At 39.2% G+C, this 13,949-nt stretch overlaps 1 protein-coding gene across 10 annotated transcripts in view; it reads left to right on the top strand.

Moving 5' to 3' along the window:
- The window catches only part of IL6ST (interleukin 6 cytokine family signal transducer), a 59,869-nt gene that overhangs the window by 11,982 nt on the left and 33,938 nt on the right, over nt 1-13,949 (top strand). For 9 of the 10 annotated variants that reach the window (NR_157112.2, NR_120480.2, NM_001364279.2 and 6 more), the window contains exons 2-4: nt 171-258; nt 6,689-6,767; nt 13,127-13,432. Coding sequence is in view for 5 of the 10 variants with exons in the window: in NM_175767.3 (NP_786943.1) it covers nt 6,704-6,767; nt 13,127-13,432 (370 nt within the window). In the remaining 5 variants the exon portion in view is untranslated. The remainder of the gene's footprint in view (nt 1-170; nt 259-6,688; nt 6,768-13,126; nt 13,433-13,949) is intronic. The other variant, NM_001364276.2, reaches the window with a different exon arrangement.

Genomic DNA, 13,949 nt, shown 5'->3' with positions numbered 1-13,949 from the left:
CTCTTATACAAGTGTTTATGGGTTTATTTTATTCTGAAGCTCAGAACATATCTAAAGTAGGATACTTTCTGCAAACCCAAAAGCCTAAGAGCAGATGGGGATTTTTAAAGTACACATATAATAAAATTATCAAAGCCAGCCTTCTGAACAAGACTCTCCTCTCTTTACAGTGAAACCCAATGGAAAAAGCATGACATTTAGAAGTAGAAGACTTAGCTTCAAATCCCTACTCCTTCACTTACTAATTTTGTGATTTGGGTAAGTAATTGATCTTGTCTGAATTTTTTGTTTTTTTATTTTACAAAGTTCCAATAAATAATCCCTGCCCTACTCACCTGATTCTTTAGGATATTAGGAGACTAAAGTGAAATAATTTATGTGACAACATTTTGTGTAATGTAAAATAATATCCTAGTGTTAATTGTTATGAACTCATAATTGATACTAATGGAAGAGAACAGAGTGGATAATTTAAAAACTAATTTAATAATTAGTTAATTTTGTGTAGGTATTACCAACTTCTGGCAGTTTATTCACAGTAACACTGTACTGTGAAAGATATATAGAAATTTTCTTCATCTTGATCCCCACGCAACTTATTAATTCAACAAGCATTATTTTGCCTTCTATTTGGCAATTTTAGTTCATATACTGTTCTACAATTGTAATAGTAATGTTACCATAGTAACAAAGTTTATATTGACATTCTTTTTCACATGCAATGTAAATCTAAATATATTCGTGCTTTTTATTTCATCCTTAGGTTAAGTTAGAAAATGAAAAAAAAATCACAATCCATAGGTGACAAAAATAATTTATAAAGAGCCTAACCATTAAATATTTATCCATTGTAACTCTACTGCTTTTTCTCTCACTTGAGAAAACATATGGAAATGAAAGTAAATGAGAATGAACAACTATAGGGATAATCTTGAATTTATTCTATTTTAAATAAATCATTTATGAACTTTGTTTCTCTAACATTAAAAGTAGCAATACTTGTTATACATCATCTAGCTCCTTTCGGCACACTACCATGTTATATCACCATAGTTGAGGAATGATTACAGCTTTTGGTTTTCAGAAATAATCTTTCCTGTATTTATGGTTACTAGTTAGGTTTTGGCTTCATAGAAGCTTCTCAAGTTACCTGCAAATTTCAAGGAAGGTTAGTGTATGCAATGTATGGTTATAATATATGCATAGAAAACTCTGCAAGAGGTGAGGTAATAGTGCTATTAATATAATTTTAAATTAAATATTAGTATCAACAGAAGGAAAGGAGGGAAAAAATAAGCAAACTACTGTCAATTCTGTCAATTTTTTTTTTTATTTTTTTGAGATGGAGTCTCGCTCTGTCACCCAGGCTGGAGTGCAATGGCACGATCTTGGCTCGCTGCAACCTCCGCCTCCCAGGTTCAAGTGATTCTCCTACCTCAGCCTCCTGAGTAGCTGGGACTATAGGTGTGCGCCACCATGCCCGGCTAATTTTTGTATTTTTATTAGAGACGGGGCTTCATCATATTGGTTAGGCTCGTCTTGAACTCCTGACCTTGTCATCCGCCTGCCTTGGCTTCCCAAAGTGCTGGGATTACAGGCATGAGCCACCGCACCCGGCCATAATTCTGTCAATTTTTAAGCAAGCCCCAAGTGAAGTTAACTGTATTGCATATAATATTTTATATAGTGTTACTGTGTCTTCATCTCTTAGATTTGGACTATGAAATCAAGTCCCATAATAGATGTTTCTTCATCACCTCTCCATTACAATCTTTTAAAAATTAGGAAAGATTACTTTCTAAATGTGAAATGTGGAATCTACCTTTGCCTAGTTCGCTTTGCTTGTGTTCCATGGTACTACTCAAACAAATCTAATTGCTTTGAAGTAATCATAAATTCTTTCATGGACCTCTTGTTCTGGAGCAGCTTTGTTGCAAGAATATAGTACATTTGGCTTGGCACAGTGGCTCACACCTGTAATTCCAGCACTTTGGGTGGCCAAAGAAGGAGGATTGCTTCAGACCAGGAGTTTGGGACCTGCCTGTGCAACATAGTGAGACCCCCATCTTTACAGAAAAATTTTTAAAAAATTAGCTGGGCATGCTGGCAAGCTGTTACATGATTAGGGAGTGCATAAAATCAAGTTAGTATGTATATTTAATAAAACAATATTGTGTTCCAAGTGCAGAACTAGGAAGCCATTTCTCATCAAGAAGAGTTAATAGTTTTATTTAGAAGAAAAAAATTACACATTAAGTATTTTGTCTTTAATAATTTTAGCTTTTATTTTAGGTTCAGGGAGTTCATGTACAGGTTACATGAGTATATTGTGTGATGCTGAGGTTTGGAGTACGATTGAACTGTCACCCAGTTGGTGAGCATAGTACCCAATAGTTTGAACCTTAAGTATTTATTTATTTTATTTATTTTTTGAGACGGAGTTTCACTCTGTCGCCCAGCCTGGAGTGCAGTGGCGCCATCTCCGTTCACTGCAACCTCCGCCTCCCGGGTTCAAGTGATTCTCCTGCCTCAGCCTCCCAAGTAGCTGGGATTACAGGTGCCCACCACCACGCCCAGCTACTTTTTGTATTTTTAGTATGGACGGGGTTTCACCATGTAGGCCAGGCTGGTCTGGAACTCCTGACCTCAGATGATCCACCCACCTCGGCCTCCCTGAGTGCTGGGATTACAGGCGTGAGCCACTGCACCTAGCTGACATTAAGTATTTTTTAATTTAAATTTATTTTTTGCATAAGTACTAAAGATTCACATGGTCAACATTGCAAGGCTGCAGAGTATATGGTGGAGCGTCTCCCTACCACCCTGATCTCTCAAATACCCTGTCACAGCCAGTATTTGAACTTTTATCCTCCTAGAGATACTGTGCATATATAAAAAAACGAATGTGTGTTTTGTTTTCTTGTATATTGTTTTGCCCACAAATAATAGCAAATGCGTTGTTCTGTACCTTAACAATGTAACAATGTATTTTAGATAACTTTATGTTTCTGTACATATAGAGCTTCCTCATTTTTTTTAAATGGCTACAAGTATTTACATTTACATGGTTTTGGTATACCATCATTTAACTAGTGTCCCATCATAATCAGGTTGTTTCAGCCTTTTACTGTTAAAAACAATGCAGTGAATAACTTTGTACATGTGTTGTTTTATTCATATCTGTAGGATAAAATAAAGTAGAATCATTAGAATCAAATGTGTGTGTTTTAATTTTGATTGATATTGCCGAACTGGCTCTCTGCCTTGTTTGGGTAGAGCTTTTTTCTTTGTTTTTAAGTGAGGTCTAATTTACAAACAACAAAACTGACCATTTTTAAAGTGTTCAATGTATTGGGAAGCTTATGCCAATTTACACTATAACCTGTAGTGTGTGACGATACTTTCGTTGCTTAGTCTCACAACACCCTGTTGATACTTTTTGGGTTTTTATATTTTTGCCAACACTAATATGTAAGAATGGTATTGGGATAATTTTTGGTTTGTTTACCTTTTGTTACATACTGCAAAACAGAACTCATAAGTGTACAGCTCAGTGAATTTATCACTGTCCAGATCAAGATACAGAACATGCTCAGCACCCAGAATGTCCCCTTTTATACCCTTCCTCACAAAAAACAACTGCTCTGACCTCTGTCACCAAACACCGTAGACTTTTGCCTCTTTTTGAACTTCTGTAAAATAAATCATGCAGAGCGTACTTTCTTGCCTTTTTTCTCTTTTAAAATTTTTTTGTAGAGTCAGGGTCTCACTATTTTGTGCAGGCTGGCCTCTTAACTCCTGGCCTCAAGCAATTCTTCCCCCTCAGCCTCCCAAAGTGCTGATATGACAGGTGTGGGCCACTGCACCCAACCTGTCTGATTTCTTTCATTCTGTATTATATATGAGATTCATCCATGATGCATGTATCTGTTGTTATTTTTCATTGCTGTGATTCAATTACTTGAATATACCATAATTTATCCTAGTGTTAATAGATATTTGGTTGATTTTATTTTTCATCTATTTTGAATAAAACTTCTGTAAACATTCTTGTAGATGTCTTTGGAGGTATTAAGCACTCGTTTCTTTTGGTTATACCTTATCTGGGCAGATTTTGTTTGTTTTAAGGTCTAATTTATAAACAATAAAATTCACCATTTTTTAGTTACAACTTGATAGGAAACCCATGAGTCTAACATTTCTGCGTTTCTTATCAGCAAAAACCCTGATGGCTGCCTTTTTTCTGAACTTTGTTTTGAGACGGAGTCTCGCTCTGTCACCTAGGCTGGAGTGCAGTGGTGTGACCTCGGCTCACTGCAGCCTCCGCCTCCCAGGTTCAAGCAGTTCTCTGCCTCAGCCTCCTGAGTAGCTGGGATTACAGGCGGCCGCCACCACGCCTGGCTAATTTTTGTATTTTTATTAGGGACAGGGTTTCACCATGTTGGTCAGGCTGGTCTTGAACTCCTGACCTCATGATTCACTCGCCTCAGCCTCCCAAAGTGCTGGGATTATAGGCGTGAGCCACCATGCCCAGCCAACTTACCTTTTAAAGAATGTTGGAAGGTAGACTCTCAGAGCCGTGGAGCAAAGGACAGGCTTACTTACAGTCTTCAAAGATACAGATAATGTCTCCCTCTAGAGTAAATGGCAGACATGCTTCCTGCATATTTTTCAAGTTTAGGGTTACTTAAGATCTGTCTTTCTTTCCTGTGAAGCAGCCTGTTCAGGTGTCATCTGACTTCACAATGCCCTGTGACAGTTGGGACTCAAGCAGCTGGCGCAAGAAAATGCTGATACTCTGACTACTGTTATGAGTAATACAGTCCTTTGCTTCTGACGCAAAAATGTCATGCCTTTTGCCAGTATCCATGACACTGTGGTAGGCTGACTTGTTAGCTTGAAAGTAAGGTAAAATCTCAGTGCCTTTGAAACAGTTGACACAGAATTCAGTGAATTTTGACAAATGTAGTCTTTTTTTTTTTTTAAATAGAATTTCGCTTTGTTGCCCAGGCTGGAGTGCAGTGGTGCCATCTCAGCTCACTGCAGCCCCTGCCTTCCGGGTTCAAACAGCTCTCCTGCCTCAAGCCTCATGAGTAGCTGGGACTGCAGGCATACACCACCACACCTGGCGTGTGTGTGTGTGTGTGTGTCTGTGTGTGTCGGGGTCTCGCTCTGTTGCCCATGCTGGAGTCCAGTGGCATGATCTGGGCTTACTGCAACCTCTGTTTCACGGGTTCAAACAGTTCTCCTGCCTCAGCCTCCCGAGTAGCTGGCATCACAGACACCCGCCACCACGCCAAGCTACTTTTTGTATTTTTAATAGAGATGGGGTTTCACCATGTTGGCCAGGCTCGTCTCGAACTCCTGACCTCAAGTGATCTGCCCACCTCGGCCTCCCAAAGTGCTGGGATTACAGGCGTGAGCCATCGCGTCCTGCCAAATGTATAGAGTCTTATAGTCACCACCACAATCAAGTCATAGAGTATTTTTATCACCCCAGATTTCCTTTATGCCCTTTTACGTGTGCCTTCTCTACCTCAGCCCTAGGCAACCCTGGATCTGCTTTCTGTCACCTTAGTTTTGCCGTATCAAGAATTTCTGAGGCACATGCCTGTAATCCCAGTGCTTTGGGAGGCTGAGGCAGGAGGATTGCTCGAGCCCAGGAGTTTGAGACAGCCTGGGCAACATAGTGAGACCCCCATCTCTTAAAAAAAAAAAGAATTTCCTGTAAATAGAGTTATACAATGTATAACCTGTTGTGTCTGGCTTCGTTTATTCAGTGTAATGCTTTTGAGATTCATTCATACTACTGCATGTATCACCAGTTCATACTCTTTTTTTTTTGTTTGCTGAGTAGTATTCTATTATATGTCTCTACCATTGTTTGAATGTATGTTTATACATTCAGCAGTTGGTGGACATTTGGATTGTTTCCAGTTTGGGACTTATGAATGAAGCTGCTGTGAACATTTGAGTATAAGTCTTATTGTGGGCATATGTTTTTATTTTGGGGAGTACGCTCTTTGGAGTGGAAATACCAAGTCTTATGGTGTGCTTTTAACTTGGTAACGAACTATCAAATTGTTTACCAGAGTGTCTGTATCATTTTGCGTTCCTATCTGAGTAGTTCTAATTTATATCTCTCATTTTGAGTGAGGTTGAAAGTATCTTTTCACATGCTTGATTTACTTGTATTTCCTTTTCTATAAACTATTCAAATATGTTTGCCTGTTCTATTAGGTGTTAGAATTTTTTAGTGATTTGTAGGCATTCTTTATATATCGGGAAAATTTTTGGCCATGCTATGAATTACAAACATTTTTTTCCATTTGTCAGGTATCTTTTAAGGATACATATTATGGTGAGTTTTGCCATGTAGAAATTTGTCAGTCTGAAGTTCTTAATCTCACAGTTATTTACTAATATAAGACTTCACATAAGAAAGAAACAAGATATCTCTTTTAATTAACCTTAAAGTATAAATTATGTTTTCTAGCAGTGTTTTCCATAGCCATAACTTCAGTGGGAATAAAGAAAAATAATGTGAAGACTTAAGTTTTCTACATTCTCATAAGAATTTTACCACCTTTTAGAAACACAGCTACAGCATGGAAACAAGATTGTGTCTTAAATTATGTGTATATAAGAGAAAAAATATTAAAAGTAATATTACATGTGTCTGTTGCAGAAATATCCGCGCAAGATGTTGACGTTGCAGACTTGGCTAGTGCAAGCCTTGTTTATTTTCCTCACCACTGAATCTACAGGTAAGGTTCATGAAATACCCTATCTTCTAACTTCACAAATTAGGTTTATATATTTTTATATTATTATATAATTAAGCTTATGTTTAATTATTATGTTCATATATTCTTTCTAGGATAATCGAGAGAATAATATCTTAAATTGATTTTAATAAAAATATTCTTGATAATCTGTTTTTGTATAATTTGAGTTGTAACAGTCATCTTACATGCTAAGTCAGTAATTTAAGTCAGTAATCTTAAATGCTGTATATCAATACTAACAATAACTTTAAAATGGGGAAGGAAAGAAGTGTGTGGGTTTTTTTTTTTTTCTTCAGTAAATGAATAGGAGAAAATTTGTTAAATCTTGTTAAATTTTACGTCATTCATACTACATGCTCTTCAGGTATTGAAGGGCTGCTTTCCTGTGTCTGTAAGTCCTTGTCCCCAAATTACAGTTACCCAGATATCTAATCATTCTATAGGATCTGGTTTTTAACCCTGTGCATGCTGATTACCCTACTGATTCTTCTCTTAGTTGCCTGTATTACATTTAAAATAGAATACTGGCTGGACATGGTGGCTCACACCTGTAATCCCAGAACCTTGGGAGGCATAGGCAGGAAAATAACTTGAGTCCAGGAATTCAGTCTGGGCAACAAAGCAAGGCCCCATCTCTACAATTTTTTTTTTTAATTAGCCAAGTATTAGTCCATTCTCACACTGCTATAAAGAAATACCTGAGACTGGGTAATTTATAAAGAAAAGGTTTAATTGATTCACAGTTCTGTAGGCTGTGCGGAAGCATGGTGGCATCTGCTTCTGGGGAGGCTTTGGGAAGTTTCCAGTCATGGCAGAAGACAAAGGGGGAGTGAGGCATCTCACATAGCGAGAACAGGAGGAAGAGAGAGAGAAAGGGAAGGTGCTACAAACTTTTAAATGACCAGAGCTCACAATAACTCATTCCTCATCCACCATCTCGAGGCAGTACCAAGTGAGAAATCCACCCCTATGATTTAATCACCTCTCCACCAGGCCCCACCTCCAACACTGGGGATTATGATACGACATGAGATTTGGGTGGGGACACAGATTCAAACCATATCATGCCTCTAGTCCCAACTACTCAGGAGGCTGAGCCAGGAGAATCATGAGCCCTGGACCTCGAGGTCACAGTGAGCCATGGTCACGCCATTGCACTCTATCCTGGGTAACAGAGCAAGACCCTGTCTCGTAAAAATATTTATGTGTACGTGTGTGTGTGTGTGTGTGTGTGTGTATGTGTGTGTGTGTGTGTGTATGAATAATACTATCCCAGCTGTCCCCCTTACTAGCTGTAGGACCTTGGTCAGTCATTTTCTGTACCTCAATTTCCTGATCTATGAAATGGTGATAATAAAGGCCACTACCTCCTAGGGTTATTAGTGAGGATTAAAGAAGTTAATATAGAGGCCAGGCATGGTGGCTCATGCCAGTAATCCAAGCACTTTGGGAGGCCGAGATGGGTGGATCATTTGAGGTTAGGAGTTCAAGACTAGCCTGGCCAACATGGTAAAACCCCGTATCTACTAAAAATACAAAAATTAGCCAGGCGGTAGTGCCGCACGCCTGTAATCCCCACTACTCAGGAGGCTGAGGCAGGAGAATCGCTTGAGCCTGGGAGGCGGAGGTTGCAGTGAGCCAAGATTGCACCACTGCACTCCAGTCTGGGTGACAGAGTGAAACCCTGTTTCCAAAAAAAAAAATCTGAGCTTGGTAGCACATGCCTGAAAGTCTCAGCTACTTGGGAGGCTGAGGTGGGAGAGTCACTTGAACCCGGGAGGCAAAGGTTGCGGTGTGTGGAGATTGTGCCACTGCACTCCAGCCTAGGGTGGCAGACTGAGACCCTATCTCAAAAAACAACCAAAAATAAGTTAATATAGAGGAAATATTTGGACAGTGTTTGGCCTACAGTAAGCATTATAAAAATGATAGTTACTGCATATTTATTATAAAGGTTATTGTTGTCTTTGAATAAAAGTTTCTTTATGAAAAAAATAAACGTAATATACCAAAACCAATCTGACTACAGTGGCACTCATACTTACTTTGATCTGAACATCATTTTTATAAAGTTACGTAACTATGTGGTAGCTGAGATATACCCTTGTTTCATGTTGAGCTAGTGATCAGTGAAAATTCTCAGGTGGTTTTTACATGAGTTACTCTTAAACTAGTTCTCCCTCACCCAATGTATATTTCTTATTACCTAAATAGGATATATTTCCTCTGTTGCTAATTTCATTTTATCAGTTTTAGCCTGGTGTTCTACTCTTTCAGCATAATTTTAAATCCCAACATTTTCATCCGAAGTGTTGGCAGTTGTTTGTAGTCCTGTCCTCTGCTAATTTGATAAGCATGTGTGTCTGTCTTTTCCCAAGTTGTTGATTAAAATGTTGAAAATAACAGGACTGCATTAGCTACCTGTTGCTGCCTCACAAATACTCCAAATCTTCAAGGCTTAAAATGATAATAATACCTCTCATGATTTGTATAGGACAAGACTATAGATAGGCAGGCACAATCAGACGTATTCATCTTTGCTGTACAATGTCTGGGGCCTCAGCTGCAATATTCAGACTGGGGGCTGGAGTCATCTTCAGACTCCTTCGCTTATATGTCTGTTGTTAATGGTATCTGCAGGCTGAGGGCTTTGCTGGGGCCATTGTCCAAAACACCATACGTGGCCTCTTTTTATGGCCCTGGCTTTCTTACAATGTGTGGCTGGGTTCTAAGGGCAGATATCCCGGGAGAGAGAAAGAAAGCTAATTGGAGTCTGTATTCTTTTAATGATCTAGCCTCTGAAGTCTCATAGCACACTCCATTGGCTGGAGTGGACACAAGGCACCCATACAGATCTGATGTGGTTGGGGGAAATGCAGTCCCCACCTCTTCATGAAAAGAGTATGCGTGACATCGTAAGAAAAACGTGGGATGGGATAAATATGTAGGTGTGGCCATTCTTAAAATACAGTCTTCTCCAAGGATTGAGGGCATGCACTTCAGCATATTCTACTTAAGACTATCCTCTAATTGACTTTTTTCTTAAGTCAGTTTTTTTATATATGGGTAATCAAATATAAATTTGAGTATGAACCTATAAAAGTAGCAAAATATCAGCAATTTCATAATGTTCATTGTAATATCGGTTATAGTATATTCTTTTTTTTTTTGCTTTTTTTCTTTTTTTTTGAGATGGAATCTCGTTTCGTTGCCTAGGCTGGAGTGCAGTGGCACAATCTCAGCTCACTGCAACCTCTGCCCCCCAGGTTCAAGCAATTCTCCTGCCTCAGCCTCCTGAGTAGCTGGAATTACAGGTGCAGGTCACCACGCCCGGGTAATTTTTGTATTTTTAGTAGAGACGGGATTTCACCATGTTGGTCAGGCTGGTCTAGAACTCCTCATCTCAGGTGATCCATCCACCTCGGCCTCCCAAAGTGCTGGGATTACAGACGTGAGTCACTGCGTCCAACCCAGTTATAGTGTATTCTAATTCACATTTCTTCATCTTGCCCTATAAACATTCAAAATAACTTTATCAGATACCTTTCTTAATTAAAATACTTTCTTTTTACAATTTAATCTCAGCCTGGTAGCCCTGTAAAATGGGATTAATTTGACATGGGATGGTATTATTGAAGCTGTGTCTCACTTTGAAAAACGGAACATTTGCCCCTTTTTTTTCGAGACTGAATCTCACTCTGTCGCTCAGGCTGGAGTGCAGTGGTGTGATCTTGGCTCACTGCAAGCTCCGCCTCCTGGGTTCACACCATTCTCCTGCCTCAGCCTCCCAAGTAGCTGGGACTACAGGCGCCCGCCACCACGCCCGGCTAATTTTTTGTATTTTTAGTAGAGACAGGGTTTCACTATGTTAGCCACGATGGCCTTGATCTCCTGACCTCGTGATCCACCCACCTCGGCCTCCCAAAGTGCTGGGATTACAGGTGTGAGCCACTGCGCCCAGCCCATTTGCCCATTTTTAATATTTCTCTTATTCTGTGTGATTAAAAATTATTCATACTGAGTCTCTAATTATATCTTTTTAGAACTCTAGAGTATATTTCATATTTAACATCCCTATGATTACTTTAGAGAAAGTATAACAAGTGATTTTGCCAAAGAATAAAGTGATGTCTAGGGAATTGTAAGGTCTGACCCAGTATCAGAGAGTAACTTAGTAGAGATTCTCCACTGGATGAAGGACCATGCTATTGGAAATTGAGAGTAATATATGCACTAAGATTTACAGTAGGCATTTATAAATAACAGCAAGATGATATAAACAGACCACATTATAAGTTTGAAACAAAGAAATACACATTCCAGCTCTGGGTTTTACAGGCTTTGTGAGAGGTCCTGGGATTCCATTTGGGGATACAATTTTGACTGCAAAAACTGTTTTTAATTTTTTCTGGGCTCACTGCAGCCTTGACCTCTTGGGCTCAAGCAATCCTCCTGCCTCAGCACACGACCCTCACCCCCAAGTAGCTGGGACTACAGGCGTGTGCCACCATGCCTGGCTAATATTTATATTTTTTTTGTAGAGATGGGGTTTTGCCATGTTGCCCAGGCTAGTAATTTTTAATCTCAAAAACACTTCATGGGTAACTACCCAGGAACCCCACAGCAAATAGGATTCATTGAGGAAAGCCACCTTAAAATTGTGGACATTGAAGCTAGAGAAAAAGAATAAAATCATGTCAAATAGTTGGGACTTTTATCTTGGTAGTAGGTAGCCACTAAATAATTTAAAGTAGACAAATGTCCTAATTATTTTAGAACAGTAACTGACAGTAGTATGTAAGATAAACTGGAAGGAGGTCAGACTGATATAGTATCCTGTGCTTCAGCAGTCAAAGTAGCATTGGAAAGAAGATGTTGATATGCTTATTAAGCATATAGAACCAATACAGTGCACTATTGTTAAGTTGGAGGTTAGAGGAGGCTAATTGGAGATGTTGGAAGATGACTACAGAGTATCTGTCCTGGATGTCTGGATGGGAGTGGTGCTGTTAGCAGAGGCAGAGAAATAAGAATAAAAAATAATAAGTTTGAAAAGATTATGATACATAATAGTTTTGGACATGCTCATTTAAAAATAGCTATGGGATATCTCAGGTAGATATATGTCTAATGGGCTATTGAAAGCATGGGGGTTTAGTGCTAGAGATAGGGATTGAGATGTCATCAATGTGGAGTAGGTGATAGGTAAAGCATGTAGTTGTGTTTAATTCTCTTTTACCCAATCTGATTCTTTGTGTTTTGTTTTGTTTGTTTTGTTTTGTTTTGTTTTTTGAGACTCTGTCTCACTCTGTCTCCCAAGCTGGAGTGCAGTGGCGTGATCTCACTGCAACCTCCACTTCCTGGGTTCAGGTGATTCTCATGCCTCAGCCTCCCAAGCAGCTGGGATTACAGGTGCCCACCATGACACCCAGCTAATTTTTGTATTTTTAGTAGAGACTGGGTTTTAGCATGTTGGTTAGGCTGATTCTTTGTTTTTAAATAGGGGATCCTATCCCATGCATTTATTTTCACTCTGTTGTCCAGGGTGGAGTGCAGTGGCTTACTACATCCTTGACCCCTTGGGCTCAAGCCATCATCCCACTTCAGCCTCCCGAATAGCTGGGACTATAGGCGTGCACCACCATGCTCGGCTAATTTTTTTTGTTTTTAGTACAGATGGCATCTCCCTATGTTGCCCAAGCTGGTTTCAAACTCCTGAGCTCGAGCGATCCTCTTGCCTCGGCCTCCCAAAAGTGCTGAGATTATAGACGCAAACCATCATACCCAGGGCCATGCATTTATTCTTAAAACTAAACTATTTGGCCATCTTGTTCTATTCTTCCTGTTTTGTATTGGTCCCTTGCTGTTTCCTTTGTTGTCTGAGTTTTGATGTGTGGACAATGTATACTGTCTGTGACCCCAACTGTACTCCACAACAGCATTCAGGACTGTAGAGGAGACCACCACTGCCTGTTTTCTGGAGAGTTTAGTTTAGACCTGGGATCTAAATGGAGGGACAGGATACGTTGTGGGGCAAGTATGAATCATGCTGCAGGCAGTCTGTGTTTCTTAAAGAAATAGTTTATACCATGGGCTATAAAGCATGAATGGGTTTTTCTTAATTCAGCTCTATTATCTTTATAATTTGTATATTTCTTTACAAATTCAGGCATTAAATTCTAACCATATTAATTTTCAGTTGTGTATTGTCTTTTTCTGTGTCTTTAGGGATATTTTAGTGACGGTTGAGGGACTCTACATTGAGTGCTACCAGCTAGATATCATTTTGTACCAGAAAAATTCAGTCCATTTATATATTTTCTATTGTTCCTTTTTAGGTGAACTTCTAGATCCATGTGGTTATATCAGTCCTGAATCTCCAGTTGTACAACTTCATTCTAATTTCACTGCAGTTTGTGTGCTAAAGGAAAAATGTATGGATTATTTTCATGTAAATGCTAATTACATTGTCTGGAAAACAAACCATTTTACTATTCCTAAGGAGCAATATACTATCATAAACAGAACAGCATCCAGTGTCACCTTTACAGATATAGCTTCATTAAATATTCAGCTCACTTGCAACATTCTTACATTCGGACAGCTTGAACAGAATGTTTATGGAATCACAATAATTTCAGGCTGTAAGTTTTGTTTTTGTCTTATTTCAGACTTTGTCATGACTATTGAACTGCATTTTTAATGTTGTCCTTTCATCTTTATAAAATGTAGTAACTTGTGGACTTAGTGACTTGGACATGTTTGGTTTTTAAAAAATAAGCTTAGAAGTAGGAACCACAAGTCTCCTGTCTTTCCTGAAAGTCAAGCAGTTTCACTTTACTAGAGAAATATTTGACATGAGACCCCCCCCACCACAGGAAAGTATTGTTGAATTGACATAATGATGGTAATTCTCAGTATCCCTTAATTGCTGAGAAAATGCACGTGTAAAGCAGCTACCTGAAGAAAGCGAACAAATACTGGAGTAAATCCTTTTTTTTTTTTTGGTGACAGAGTCTCGCTCTGTCACCCAGGCTGGAGTGCAGTGGCATCATCTCAGCTCACTGCCCTCCCGGGTTCAAGCAATCCTCCTGCCTCAGCCTCCCAAGTAGCTGGGACTACAGGCATGAGCCACCACGCCCGGCTAATTTTTCATATTTT

The sequence above is a fragment of the Homo sapiens genome, chromosome 5 (assembly GCF_000001405.40).
Source record: "Homo sapiens chromosome 5, GRCh38.p14 Primary Assembly".
Taxonomy (NCBI): Eukaryota; Metazoa; Chordata; class Mammalia; order Primates; family Hominidae; genus Homo; species Homo sapiens.
Note: the sequence above shows the minus strand (reverse complement) of the source record. Positions and strands in the feature narration are given on the sequence as shown.